General features: G+C 39.0%; 1 protein-coding gene across 3 annotated transcripts in view; it reads left to right on the top strand.

The window, feature by feature from the left end:
- Positions 1 to 14,069, top strand: part of SLC25A12 (solute carrier family 25 member 12) — a 110,840-nt gene that overhangs the window by 48,944 nt on the left and 47,827 nt on the right. For all 3 annotated transcript variants that reach the window (NR_047549.2, NM_003705.5, XM_047446142.1), the window contains 4 exons: positions 793 to 932; positions 8,034 to 8,180; positions 10,436 to 10,574; positions 11,245 to 11,338. Coding sequence is in view for 2 of the 3 variants with exons in the window: in NM_003705.5 (NP_003696.2) it covers positions 793 to 932; positions 8,034 to 8,180; positions 10,436 to 10,574; positions 11,245 to 11,338 (520 nt within the window). In the remaining variant the exon portion in view is untranslated. The remainder of the gene's footprint in view (positions 1 to 792; positions 933 to 8,033; positions 8,181 to 10,435; positions 10,575 to 11,244; positions 11,339 to 14,069) is intronic.

Raw genomic sequence — 14,069 nt, 5'->3', positions numbered from 1 at the left:
AGAACTCTGTAAGAATGTAAATAACGTTGTTAGTGCATGAAGACAAGCTGCCAGAGGGTTTTGGTTGTATGTTACACAGTGTGACTAGTTCCTATCTAAAAATTAGTGTACTGTATTTAGCTCTTTATTTAAAAGTGAAACACTAATTTAACTTATCTTAAAATATTTTAATAGTTCAGACTAATAATCATGGATTTTATGGGGATTTTGAAGCTTTGTGTCAAGACCATATTTTTAACAATATCAGAAGCTTTTAATAAGGTGCTTGCTGCTGAGCTAATGATATGCTTTTGATAGTTTTTCTTATACCTATCTTCAATAGACATATTCAGGCTAGTGTGAATGTAATAATCAAGCCTCAATCAAACCATACTTAGTATGACAAATATTGCATTATACTGTAATTTAGGTATTCATGCTTCTGATAAAGGGTTTAATTCGACTCCTTGAGAAACTGGGAAAACACTATTGATTTTATACGGGATGTAAAATAGCAGCCATTTATGATGTAAGATAGAAATCACTTTCTAATTAAAATTAAATAAAGAGAAATTAAGAATCTCATGGCCTTATATGCAATGGTACATATTCTTAAGTGTAAAATTATATTTTTTGTATCAGTTGTGTTCCTGCGCATGGTTTCTGGGCACACAAAAAAATTGCAGTTATTTTAATAGAAGCAGATGATATTGACTTTTAAAACTTCTCTTAATTTTTTTCTGTAGGAACATTGCAGTGGTTTAAACTACTTATTCCAGATATAATTGATTTATTTTTGTTTTCCCTTTTAAGAAAATGTCAAAGAAATTTTTGGACAGACTATTATTCATCATCATATCCCTTTTAACTGGGATTGTGAATTTATCCGACTGCATTTTGGGCATAACCGGAAGAAGCATCTTAACTACACAGAATTCACGCAGTTTCTCCAGGTGAGCTTAGTTTTCATAACAGGTATCAATATATACTATTCTTCTGTGTCCTTCGCTTTGTATTTATTAAGTTTATTACAAAAATAGAAGTTCTCCATGGTATTTCACTCCTATTTTTTAAATTTCCCCCTCGCCAGAGACAACTTCTTTAAACTCTTAATAGCTGTTTCTTTCAGTGTTTACTTCCATTTATTTAAATAGTAAAGCACTTCTACTTTTTTTCTACTTTTAAATACTTTTTAATTGTATCCTAACTATAGAAGATTAGAAGCTAGTTCTTTCACGACTGGGCGCAGTGGCTCACGCCTGTAATCCCAGCACTTTGGGAGGCCGAGGCGGGCAGATCACGAGGTCAGGAGATCCAGACCATCCTGGCTAACATGGTGAAACCCCATCTCTACTAAAATTAGCCGGGTGTGGTGGCGGGCGCCTGTAGTCCTAGCTACTTGGGAGGCTGAGGCAGGAGAATGGTGTGAACCTGGGAGGCGGAGCTTGCAGTGAGCTGGGATCACACCACTGCACTCCAGCCTTGGCGACAGAGTGAGACTCCATCTCAAAAAAAAAAAAAAAAAAGCTAGTTCTTTCACCTCTCTCCTCTCCCTCTTTATCACAGACTTGGACTTCTGTCCCCTTTCCCCCAATATAATTATGTCATGATTCTGCTTAGATCAGTAATCCTATGAGTTATTATAATTTTGTAAATACTATTGGTGGCTGAAGTTATTATATATTTTTTTGAGACAGAGTCTGGCTCTGTTGCTCAGGCTGGAGTGCAGTGGTGTGATCCTGGCTCACTGTAACCTCCACCTCTTGGTTCAAGCAATTCTCATGTCTCAGCCACTCAACTAGCTGGGATTACAGGAGTGTGCCACCACACCTGGCTAATTTTTGTATTCTTAGTAGAGGTGGGGTTTTGCCATGTTGGCCAGGCTGGTCTGAACTCCTGGCCTCAAGTGATCTGCCTGCCTTGACCACCCAAAGTGCTGGGATTACAGGAGTGAACCACTGCACCTGGCCTAAAGTTATTGTTCTTAGAGTTTCTAGTTTTCATTTGTTTAGTTTTCTGTGTACTAATACTAAGTCATTCTCAAACCTTGGCCCAATTATTAAGATCTCTTTTTAATGCGTTTAAAACACATTAGGTATTCTATTAATTTCATCTTCTTGGAGCTCTCCAGGAGCTTTCTTTTTTAAAAAAATTTGAGGTAAAATTTACATAAAATTAATCATTTAAAAGTGCACAATTTAGGCCAGGTGTGGTAGCTCACGCCTGTAATCCCAGCACTTTGGGAGGCTGAGGTGGGCAGATCACTTGAGATCAGGACTTTAAGACCAGCCTGGCCAACATGGCGAAACCTTGTCTCCACTAAAAATACAAAAATTAGCCAGGCGAGGTGGTGAGTGCCATAATCCCAGCTACTGGAGAGGCTGAGGCAGGAGAATCACTTGAACCCAGGAGGTGGAGGTTGCAGTGAGCTGAGATTGCATCGCTGCACTCCAGCCTGGGTGACAGAGCGAGACTCCATCTAAAAAATTAAAAATAAATAAAAGTGCACAATTGAGTGGCATTTAGTACGTTCACAGTGTCTTATATCTAGTTCCAAAACATTTTTATCATCCCAAAAAGAAACCGTGTTCCATTAAGCAGTCACTTTCTATTTCTGCTTTCCCCTGAGCTCTGGCAACTTCCAGCCTACTTTCTGTCTCTATGGATTTACCTATTATGGATATTTAATATAAATGGAATTGTACAATATGAACTTTTCTTTTTTTTGAGACAGAATTTCGCTCTTGTTATCCAGGCTGGTGTGCAATGGCGTGATCTCAGCTCACTGCAACCTCCACCTCCTGGATTCAAGCGATTCTCCTGCCTCAGCCTCCTGAGTAGCTGGGATTACAGGTGTGCGCCACTATGCCTGGCTAATTTTTTGTATTTTTAGTAGAGACAGGGTTTCACCATGTTGGCCAGGCTAGTCTCGAACTCCTGACCTCAGGTGATCCACCCACCTCAGCATCCCAAAGTGCTGGCATTATAGGTGTGAGCCACCACGCCTGGCCAAACAATATGAACTTTTGCATCTGTTTTTTTTTTTTTCCACTTAGCATAATGTTTTTAAGAATTATCCATGTCATAGCATGTATCAGTGCTTTATTCCTTTTTTGTGGCTGAATACTATTCCATTGTATAATATAGTATAAATATGTTATATTTTGTCTATCCATTCATCAGCTGATGGACCTTTGAGTTGTTCCCACCTTATGGTTATTGTGAATAGTGCTGCTATGAACATATGTATACAAATATTTGTTTGAATACCTGTTTTCAGTTCTTTTGGCTATATACATAGGAGTGTAATTTCTGGGTCATATGGTAATTCTGTTTAACTTTTTGAGAAACCACCTGACTGTTTTCCACAGCAGCTGCACCATTTTCCTGTTGTTTCCTCACCTGCTTCAGGGCCAGAAGCCAGACTGTGTAAGCTCACTGCATAGGAGTCATTCTGTGATCACCCTTCACTTTTACCTTGGAGAATCCATTTGCTGTTCTGTTACGTTGAACCTCCTGTTTGCTGCATTTTATCTCTTCTTTTATTGCGGTTTACCTATTTTTGGTAGAATACTTCCTGCAATGGCTTCTTGAGGAAAGTGGAATAAAATTTTTTTGAGACTTTTCATATGTAAAAACCTCTTGTTCCGGCTGAGGGCAGTGGCTCACACCTGTAATCCTAGCACTTTGGGAGGCCAAGGTGGGGAGATCACTTGAGTCCAGGAGTTCGAGACCAGCCTGGGCAACATGGCAAAATGCCATCTTTACAAAAAATACAAAAACTAGCCAGGTGTGGTGGCACACGACTATAGTCCCAGCTACTCAGGAGGTGAGGTGGGAGAATCACTTGAGCCCAGGGAGGTAGAAGCTGCAGTAAACCATGATCCCACCACTGCACTCCAGCGTGGGTGACCGAGTGAGCCCTGTCTCAAAAAACAAACAGTCTGGGTGTTTTGGCTCACGCCTGTAATCCCAGCACTTTGGGGGGCCAAGGCGGGCTGATCACTTGAGGTCAGGAGTTCAAGATCAGCCTGGCCAACATGGTGAAACCCTGTCTCTACTAAAAGTGCAAAAATTAGCCAGGTGTGGTGGCAGGCACCTGTAATCCCAGCTACTTGGGAGGCTGAGGCAGGAGAATCTCTTGAGCCTGGGAGGCAGAAGTTGCAGTAAGCCAAGGACAGGCCACTGCACTCCAGCCTGGGCGACAGAGCGAGACTCCATCTCAAAACAAACTAACAAACAAACAAACAAATCCCTCTTGTTCCACCATTATGCTAAGATAGTTTGGCTGGTTATTGAATTCTAGTAGGAGTTTATTTTCCTTATAATTTTGAAAGCATTGCTCTTTTGTTTTCTAGTTTCCAGTGTTGCCACAGTGCCATTCTCATTCTTAATTTAATCTTGAAACTTTTTCCACTCTGACTCGGGAGTGTTTTAATATTTTTTCTTTTCTTTGGTGTTTATGAAATTTCACGATGGTATTCCTTGGTGTGAGTTTATTTTTATTCATTGGTCTGGGCTCTTCATTCATTGGGCTTTTCTAATCTGGAAACTTACGTCCTTCAATTCTTGAAAATTTTATTACTTTTCTTATTCTATTTTCTTAGTTTCTAGGACTATTAAATGTTACATTTATGACCTTTTAGTCTTCTTTTCTCTCCTATTTTCCTTCTGAGCCTTCTATTTTCTATTTCTGCTGTATTTCTAATTTTCAGGAACTCTTTTTGGTTTTCTGAATATTCCTTTTAAAAAATAGCATACTGTTCTTGTTTCATGGATGCACTCTTTTCTTTCACTTCTTCAAAGATATTGAAGACAGGTTTCTTTGTTGTTTTTTTAAAGTTTTCTTCTTGCATAGTGTCTGCTTTCTCCACATTTATTTATTTATTTTTACTCTTTGTTTGGGTCTCTGTTTTTCTTTTTCTCTTTTTTTTTTGAGTCAGGGTCTTACCTTGTCCCCCAGGCTGGAGTGCAGTGACAGGATCATGGCTCACTGTAGCCTTGACTTCCCCAGGTTCCAGGGATCCTTTCACCTCGGCCTCCTGAATAGCTGGTACTACAGGCGTGTGCCACCATGCCTGCCTAATTTTTTGTATTTTTTGTAGAGATGGGGTTTTGCCATGTTGCCTAGGCTAGGTCTTTTATTTCGGATTAGGGAATCAGGGAAAAATTGTCTAGTCTCCAATCTGGAATATTAGATCTGGCTTTTGATGTTTTGGTTGCTGAGTAATAAGTAGTTGGAGGTCTCAGTGTTCAATTTTGCAGAAGGACTTTCAGTTTACTACCTTTTTTCACTGTAGTATTCTCCCTCTCAACTGTGTGTGGTCTATGCTGGTTCAGAGATCCTCTGTTAAACTCCTCAGACAGTAGACCTCTAGTCTTCTGCCAAGGTTGGGAAAGGGTGGAGGCCTTATTTGGAGTAAGGCAGGGGTAACTAACTGCTTCTTAAACAGATATCCAGCTAAGCCCCTTGTTTTCAGCTCCACCTTCACCATCACTTCCAGAGGTACCAATGCAGCTAATAATTGAATCTTTTGGGGGTCCTGTCATGTACATTGGCTTCCTTTTTGGCTTTTTCTGCTTAGTTTTTTTGAGTCCATTAAGTCAGTTGTCATTTGCTTTTCTGCTTTCTGATCTTAAAAATATAGTTGCCATCTTCTCCTTTTCTGTTGTCTTTGTCCTTGCGTTTCTGTTTTGTTTTGTTTTGTTCTTTTATTGTTATTTTAGTGGAGAGTGGCATTTTGGAAGACGGTGGAGTTAAATGTACAAGTTCACTCTCATCCAGTCACACTGTTTCTGAAGCTCTGCTAATTTTCATCTCATAATTAGATGAAATGCATTTTCAAGGGCATAGGATCTTTCCCTTCAGCATAACTGCCTTTCTTTATCTTTCCTTTAGTTCTCCTATCCACCTACCTACCTACCTACCTTTTTAACCCAAGATTTATTTATTTTACCTTTTATAAGCCCACAGTATTGTTTTTCTTCATTAGGATGAGCACAGATTTGAAACTATGGGCTTTAGGTGTGGGTATTTGGAGGTGCCAGTGTTTGTTCTAACTCTTTTCCCTGTTAGTGCTTATCTAACTCACCTTATAAAATTCTCAAACTTGAAAAGTTGAAAATATATGCATTTGAGAGCTGACTTTTTTAAAAAAGGAAATGTCTGCCTGATTAGTGTTTAAGATTCTTCCAAAGATTACTTTCTCTCTTTCTCTCACTGTTTTCCTTGCATTTACAGAGTCTATTTTACAATATCTATTGTACCCTGATGTTTTAATTATACTGTATAAACTGAGAGCCGCATATATGTAACTTCTTTTTTTCTGTGTTTAACTTCTCATTTTTAAGTCATTAATTTTATTTTTTAAAATCTTTTTTATTTTGGAAGACTTCAAATATACTCAAAAGTAGAGAGAATAGTGTAATGAACCTCCTGGACCTATAACCAGCTTCAATAATTACCACTTCTTGGCCAATCTTTTTTATCTATACCCTCCACCCTGCCTCCTGCAGGATCATTTGGAAGCCAGATGCACATACTCTATGATTTTTTCATCTGTGATCCTTCAAATACGTATCTTTAAAAGACAAATAAGAGTCCTTTAACTGTTGACCTTATAGAAAACAGACAATCTATTCTACTAACACTACTCCTTCAGTGAGCATTCTGCTTCATCTTGAAGGTAAAGGTCCACATCTTCTTTAGTACTGAGTGTTATTAATAAGGCTAAATTGTACCCATGGCTACCATTTGATATTTCTGGGTGATTAAGACATATAGGGAAGACAAAGACATAAGAAAGAGATAGAAAAGAGGTAGAAGGAAAGAAAAAGATATAAGACAGGGAGTGAACCTGTGTCTACTTTTGATGCTATTTAGGAATATCTTTGCCATGGGGACCAATTTCAAATCCATGTAATGATGTAGATGGATTGAAAATTCCCACTTCATTTGAAGGGTGAAGTGGTTGGAGCTGAGGTCATGGGAAAATGGAGTGAGTTATCACAAGTCCATAGGAAAATATAATTAAATAAAAATGATGAGACTTCTATAAAAACTACTTTTAATGTCATGAAAAGTTAAAGCAACATTAATTTGTAGTCTTTGATAAGTAAATGTGAATGAAAATTATGTAATCTTTAAATAATATGTATATACTTAGATATGACTATTATTTACAGAGTTGCAAAGAGTGTGACGGTGGCATCCAATAGCAGCACCATTGTTATGTTTGCTAACAGGTTTTTTGCATTTAGTCATGGATCCCCACAACAGAAATGCTCTGATTTTGACTTTTGTATAGTACACAGGGGATTGCTGGAACATTTTGTTGTTTTTGTGGATATCACTTATTACAAAGTTTGGTTGCCCAATAGTTCAAAAGTTCAGAGATATTCTGGACTGTCTTACAGTTTATGAGTAACGGTGCCCAGAGCCAGTGATAGCTGAACACTACTTTTGCAGTTTGTTATTCCTGACTTTCATTTTAGAATGACTGAATATTGCACTTACCAGTTGGTAGAGTTTCTCACTGAGTTTATTTGAAAAATTTGTTTGAAAAAATGGTCTCTAATTCATTTATAGAATGACAGAGAGAGAGACTTTGATTGCAACATTTAAAATTGAAAAACTGAAAATGAATCTAAACTCTTAATTCATGAAGTACTCTTTGATGACAGGTAAGCCTTCAAGCAGGAGAGATAAATTACTGTATATTTTAAAGGCTGAAATGAAGCACCAAAAACATTATTCTCTGTTTTCAGTAATGAAAACTTGTCAAGTAAAATCTAAGGGTTATTTTTTCCTACCTTTCCTTTATTGATGTGCTCTCATTCATTCTTTTTCCTGAGGAGTAATATGTAGTACATTTTTAAGAAAGCTCATGCTTTTTGAAAGAAATTAAAAGTTTTGTTGCAAATTCAGATCTGTGCATTGTTTGTTTTGTAGTAAGTACATGTGTGGGAAGGATATCTGTCCTTCCTTCCTTTCCAAACCATGTACTTGGAATGTGTTTAACCAGCTTAATGCCCTATTTCTAATTTCCTCACAGGAGCTGCAATTGGAACATGCAAGACAAGCCTTTGCACTCAAAGACAAAAGCAAAAGTGGCATGATTTCTGGTCTGGATTTCAGTGACATCATGGTTACCATTAGATCTCACATGCTTACTCCTTTTGTGGAGGAGAACTTAGTTTCAGTAAGTAAAAAGCAAGTTCTTTAACTTTCTATTTCCTCAAACCTTTTGATCCATTGAGTCCTGGATTGCCTCCAGGGACTCATATGACTCTCAACTATTCAAATTTCATGCTTGGTTGGTAGAAAGTAAACAGGTTTGTGTGTGTGTGTGTGTGTGTGTGCATGTGTGTGTGTGTACGTGAATGTATGTATGTGTGTGTGTAATGGAGGTAGAGGTGATGGTGAGTTATCTTTTCCCGGATCATAGTTTTATTCAGAGCCACCATCTTGCTGTCATCTATTTCCAAATTGTTTATTTCCATTTACAGAGTCCAGTTCAAGGGAAACAAGAGTTTATAGACAAGGGTGAGCAATTACTTTTTCCAGTGGGCAGTAACTCTCCCAGACACTACTGCCTTCATCTTGGCCTCTTTCCACACCACCGGGCTCCCAAGGTCTTGCTATAAAGATGGCTCCTTCCTTTGTTGCCTTCAGGGTGCTGTCTGCCGGAGGGATCATCACTGGCTTCTGCAGTGTTTTAATAACCATGCCCATGGCAGAAGGTATGGAGGAAATATGTGGCCATCAGCCTCTGTGGCTCACTCCTCTCTCTGCCCCTTCACCTGTACATTCAGTCTGTATGCACCAGACATAGTTTTTTGTTCTGTCAAACTGCTAATCTCTATAAAGTAATCATCTGGACCAATAGCAAACTCATGTCATCCACTTCCTCACATAGAGTGGTGAAACTTTCCTCACTTACCCGTTTTCTTGTCTATGCGTTGTACTTATGTATAAGTTTTTGATTACTGCTTGTTTTGAATGGAGGGAAGCCAATGAGTGCCTTTGTTGTTTCAGCTGAAGATCATTATCCCTGATTTAGACTGGGGTAGAAAGATCAACTTCTGTTCTTTTTCTTCAGTGAATCTGAACATGGACCATGTCACTTTCTCCTACACGTTTCACCTCCTTGACACCATCCCCCACTCCCCTGCCCTCACCTCATACCCCAACCAAAAAAATGAAAGAAGGAAGGAAAGAAAGGGATAAAGGGAGAGAGAAAGAGAGAAAGGGAGGGAAGGAGAGAGAAGGGAAGAGAACCCTAGAGGGAGGGGCTCAGTACCTTAGTGGGAAGGGACTCATTTAATCTTTTCCAACTAGGTTAGATAGACCTACTATAATAGCCTCAATTTTTTGAGGCTCAATTTTTTATAGTTTACCAAAAGTCAATTCTAATCCTCAGAGGAGTATATGAAAATTTGAGTCCAGCTTTTTGGGTTGCTGGTATCCAAATTCAGGCTAACACAAATATAAACTGTATTTAGGTTAAGGCATGTGTGTGAGGGGTGGTGGGGTGGGATATATTTGCTCATCATTACCTACACTATTTGTAATAGACCTTTATGATTAAAATTGTTACATTGATATTTACATAAGCATTTCTTTGCATTTTTAAAGGAGAATGTTTTCAATCATATGGGTTCCTCTGACTTCTGGCTTGGAAATGAGGCTTTTGCAAACTATGCAAAATATTCTCTTTTGAGTTTATGTCCAAGTGGTGAGCAGAGAACAAATTACGTCTTCATCCTGCAGAGGTAATGAAGGCCACGTTGCCCGCCATCTCAGGCATGAGGGAGCCTCTTTTGCACTATTCCATTGAAGACATAACTCAATAGTGAATAAATTCTCTCCAGATTTTCTACATTTTTTGGAGTTTTTGATAATTGTACCCTTCATGATCCGAATTTAGAGTTTAGCACAGACTGTTAAGTATTTTAATTATAACAGTGGCCTTAAAAATTAGGAAAAGTTGATGTAATAAAATTGTCTTAAAATTTAAAGTCATCAGTTGGTTTTTGTGTATGTGTGTGAAGGAAAAAAACAAGGTTAAAAAGTGTTCCATAGATTGTACAGTGATTTTGTTTATCCAGGACTAGCAAGAGTTTCACAGTTGAGGGTCTTGAAGATCCTGTTTAAATAACTATTGTTTTGATCTGTGATAATTATATTTGTTGTTTTTGACCTTATAGGTAGATGAACCATGAAGTCCAACTTCCAGATGTTACTTTCTTCCTTAAAACCTAAATTACATAGACTTCCCTGAGGGCATGCAGTGCACTGTTTCAGTGTGATACTTTCCTTGTATTTATGTACTGGTTGTTAACATCATTTTAACAGTGAAGACTCCTTTGGATCCTCTTTGAGAAAAGTACAGTGTCCATAAACGTGTTTTTGTTTTTGTTTGTTTTTTAAACTTTTTGTGTTGTCATTTTCTAGGCAGCTGGAGGAAGTATCTCACACCAGGTTAGCTTCTCCTACTTCAATGCATTTAACTCGTTACTGAATAACATGGAGCTTGTTCGTAAGATATATAGCACTCTAGCTGGCACAAGGAAAGATGTTGAAGTCACAAAGGGTAAGATTTTAAAATATACATAAATAAGAATCTCAGCATTTTCACTTTTCTTCACTGAGGCATGATGTTGATCTAAGCTTACCACTCTAAAGCCAGATCTAGAAAGTATGTTACCATGTGTATGTATGCTTTACTTGGGCTCCAAAAATCCAGGTGGATTTAATGTGATACTGAGGTCAGGAATGGAAAAGTGGCTTTGACAGTTTTGAAAAGAACCTTGACCCAATCTGTCAAACAGGTCAGTGGCAGTGTGGCAGCAGCTTGTTTGTACTAGGAAGGAGTTGCCACAGAAAGATGAGCAAGCCTACTCCTTTTGGTGAGTGGTATTAGGATGTTTTGAATGACTGGAGAACACCCACTTTTTTTGTATTATAACTCTGGAGAACAAAGTGAATAAGCAAGATAAGAGGAGATTCTAAAGAGATTGTTTTATTCTTGAAGTTAATTCATCTGTTTTGCTGTTTTATCATCTTAACATTTTATCTTTTACCAGCCTTCAGAAATGCATATTCTTGTATAGTTGAACTTAAATATTTAAATTCAATTTTAGATTTTAAAAATGATACTAAAATGCCTATAGCTTTCAGGTTATATTATAGTTGGTGAAGGTAGAACTTTGTTATATATTAAGAATCATTCAAGATTTTAACTTTTTTTTTCTCTGTTCCAGAGGAATTTGCCCAGAGTGCCATACGCTATGGACAAGTCACACCACTAGAAATTGATATTCTATATCAGCTTGCAGACTTATATAATGCTTCAGGGTAAGTATTTCAATAATTCTTCATGATATTTATTATAGAGTAGTTCTAAAATGTGAAGCAGTGGTGTCCTTTTAGTTCATTCTAACATGAGTTTTTTCCATGTATTTGAATAGTTTATATTCAGAATATAAATTCCAAGAAAGACAAGCAGATGTAACAAAGGAGAGGAAAGAAACACAGGAAGACAGACAGAGGGAGAAGAAGATGGAGGGAGGGGAAAGGAGAGAACAAGGGAGAGAAGAAAGAAAGGGAAGGAAAGGGGAGGGAAGAGAAGGCGGGAGTGAGGTGAGATAGGAATAAGGGGTTGAGATGCATGAGAGAGTGAAATGGGAGAAGAAAGCAATCTGACAGAGAAGAGAAGGGTTGTGATAGGGTTCATAAAGTGGGAAAGAGGCTGGGCCCAGTGGCTCACGCCTGTAATCCCAGCACTTTGGGAGGCCAAGGTGGGTAGATCATCTGAGGTCAAAAGTTTGAGACCAGCCTGGCCTGTGACCAGTCGGAGACTGAAGTGAAGGCTCCCTGTGTCCAGACCCTGTGTTTCTTTCTTCTCCTCTGTTACATCTGCTTGTCTTTTTCTCTTGGAATTTATATTCTAAACTATTCAAATAGACTGTTCTTCTGCCTCATTTCCCCCTGAGAGACGTGATCTTCATAAATCTTTATGGGAGGCAGAGGGACCAATAGTCTTTCTTCTGTAACTACTTCATGCTGATTGGGGCACAGTCCCTACCTATTGGGGACCATGGAACTCTAGCACTGCTCTGTCTAGTGGAGATAGGGTGACTTCTTGATGGCCAGGGCAGGCATCATCATCTGGAACTGGAAGCCCTGCTGCATGATCATTTGAAGCTTAATCGTCTCTAGGTGAGAAGAAATAATCTGGTAAAAAGATGAACAAACATGGTCCAAAAAGTCAATGCAAGTATAATTATTAACAATGGGCTGGCCAAGGGAAGGAGCCATGAAGCCCAGCTTGGTGCCCTTGACCAGGAGCCCTATGATGTGGACAGCTGTTGTTATATTTTAGAAGTCCTGTCAGCTAATTTTCGAGTGGCATCCCTACTAATCCTGATTGGTTGATATAAAAACAACATTCTTATAGGAAAAGACATAAGCCATCTTTTTGAGCAGTTAGGAGATCCAGTCTCCTTCTATTTTGTACAGTGACTGCTGCCAAGGAGTCTGTTTGATTTTGTAAGGTGACAATACTTTGGGCAGTGTCTTCCAAGCTGTCTGGAAGATCCTTGGATGAGCATTGGTAATAGGATAGGGAAGTTGGAAGCCTGCTAACTCCTATTGCTATTCCTGCAGTTATTCCTAGCCCTACCAAAAGGGGTATGAGTTGGATGGCTCATTTGTGCTTGGTAGTTGCAGTTAGAGGTATAATGAGAGACTGGTTATTGGGAGCTATGTTGATTTTAAGGGGGTAAATATACAAGTGTACAGCTTCCAATCCAGTTGGCTGATAAACATAAGTACAACTAGTTCCACACAGGAGAAAGGATCTTTGTTTTTTAAGACAAAAATTGTTGTCTATGGTGAACATATGGGTTAGTTTGTTGTTTTCATTTTCCCAAGTGATTAAGGTCCCTGCTAAGGTGGCCCTGGTTAAAGGCTGGAAAGGACCTTGGGAAGTATCCTGAGTTGCCCCAGCAGCATTTTTCCAGTGGAGGTAGTTGCACTTAGTGTCCACCAGCAACCACCTAGAGGTATTTTCATACTGGGGAACCAAAAGACAACTAGATGTCTCAGGATTAGTATGGTTTTTCCCAAGGGAAAATATGAACACAGCTACTGGGCCTATCTTGGCAGTACTTAGACTGTGTATCCTTTAAAGTGCCTTGAACTAGGAATGGTTTCCTTGAAACCATACAGGTTTACCAAATGATGCAGTCTGGGCAACTGCATAGCTTACATGATCATGTGAAGGGTTAATCTCTAGGGTGTAGCTCTTAAGCCAATTAATTAGAGCTCCTTTATATAACATCACACACACAACACTTGTAGACAGGGGAAGATCTAGCTGTTGTTACGTTTTTCTTTCCCTTTAATTTTTTTTTTTTTGAGACAGAGTCTTGCTCTGTTGCCCAGGCTGGAGTACAGTGGCATGATCTCAGCCCACTGCAACCTCCGCCTCCTGGGTTCAAGCGATTCTTGTGCCTCAGCCTCCCGAGTAGCTGGGACTACAGGTGCGTACCACTATGCCTGCCTAATTTTTGTATTTTTAGTAGCGACAGCCATGTTGGCCAGGCTGGTCTCAAACTTTTGACCTCAGATGATCTACCCACCTTGGCCTCCCAAAGTGCTGGGATTACAGGCGTGAGCCACTGGGCCCAGCCTCTTTCCCACTTTATGAACCCTATCACAACTTCCACAGACCATCTATGACGTGCTTAGATTTTCTGACTTGTCCTGTATTTCCCTGTTTCCTAAGTAATTAAGCATTCTACTTTAGGACAAGAATTTGCCATACAAGATTCTTTCTCATATAAAATTTCTTTTCTTCATAACCTTCCTTATCATAAATACATCTTCATAGCTATAACTTTCTTTATATCTCTCTTTCCTACTAAAGTAATTTCTGATGCCTCCAAAAGTCAAAAAGGTCAGGTAATGTGATGCAAAACTGAGCAGAGCCTTAGATTTTGAGAGGGACCTGTCTGCCTACAGTTCTTGGGGTTCCATGAGGAAAACAGGGGTTTCTCCTAAAATGGGGTCTGTGGCACCTTCT

This window comes from Homo sapiens, chromosome 2 (assembly GCF_000001405.40).
Source record: "Homo sapiens chromosome 2, GRCh38.p14 Primary Assembly".
Classification (NCBI taxonomy): domain Eukaryota; kingdom Metazoa; phylum Chordata; class Mammalia; order Primates; family Hominidae; genus Homo; species Homo sapiens.
Note: the sequence above shows the minus strand (reverse complement) of the source record. Positions and strands in the feature narration are given on the sequence as shown.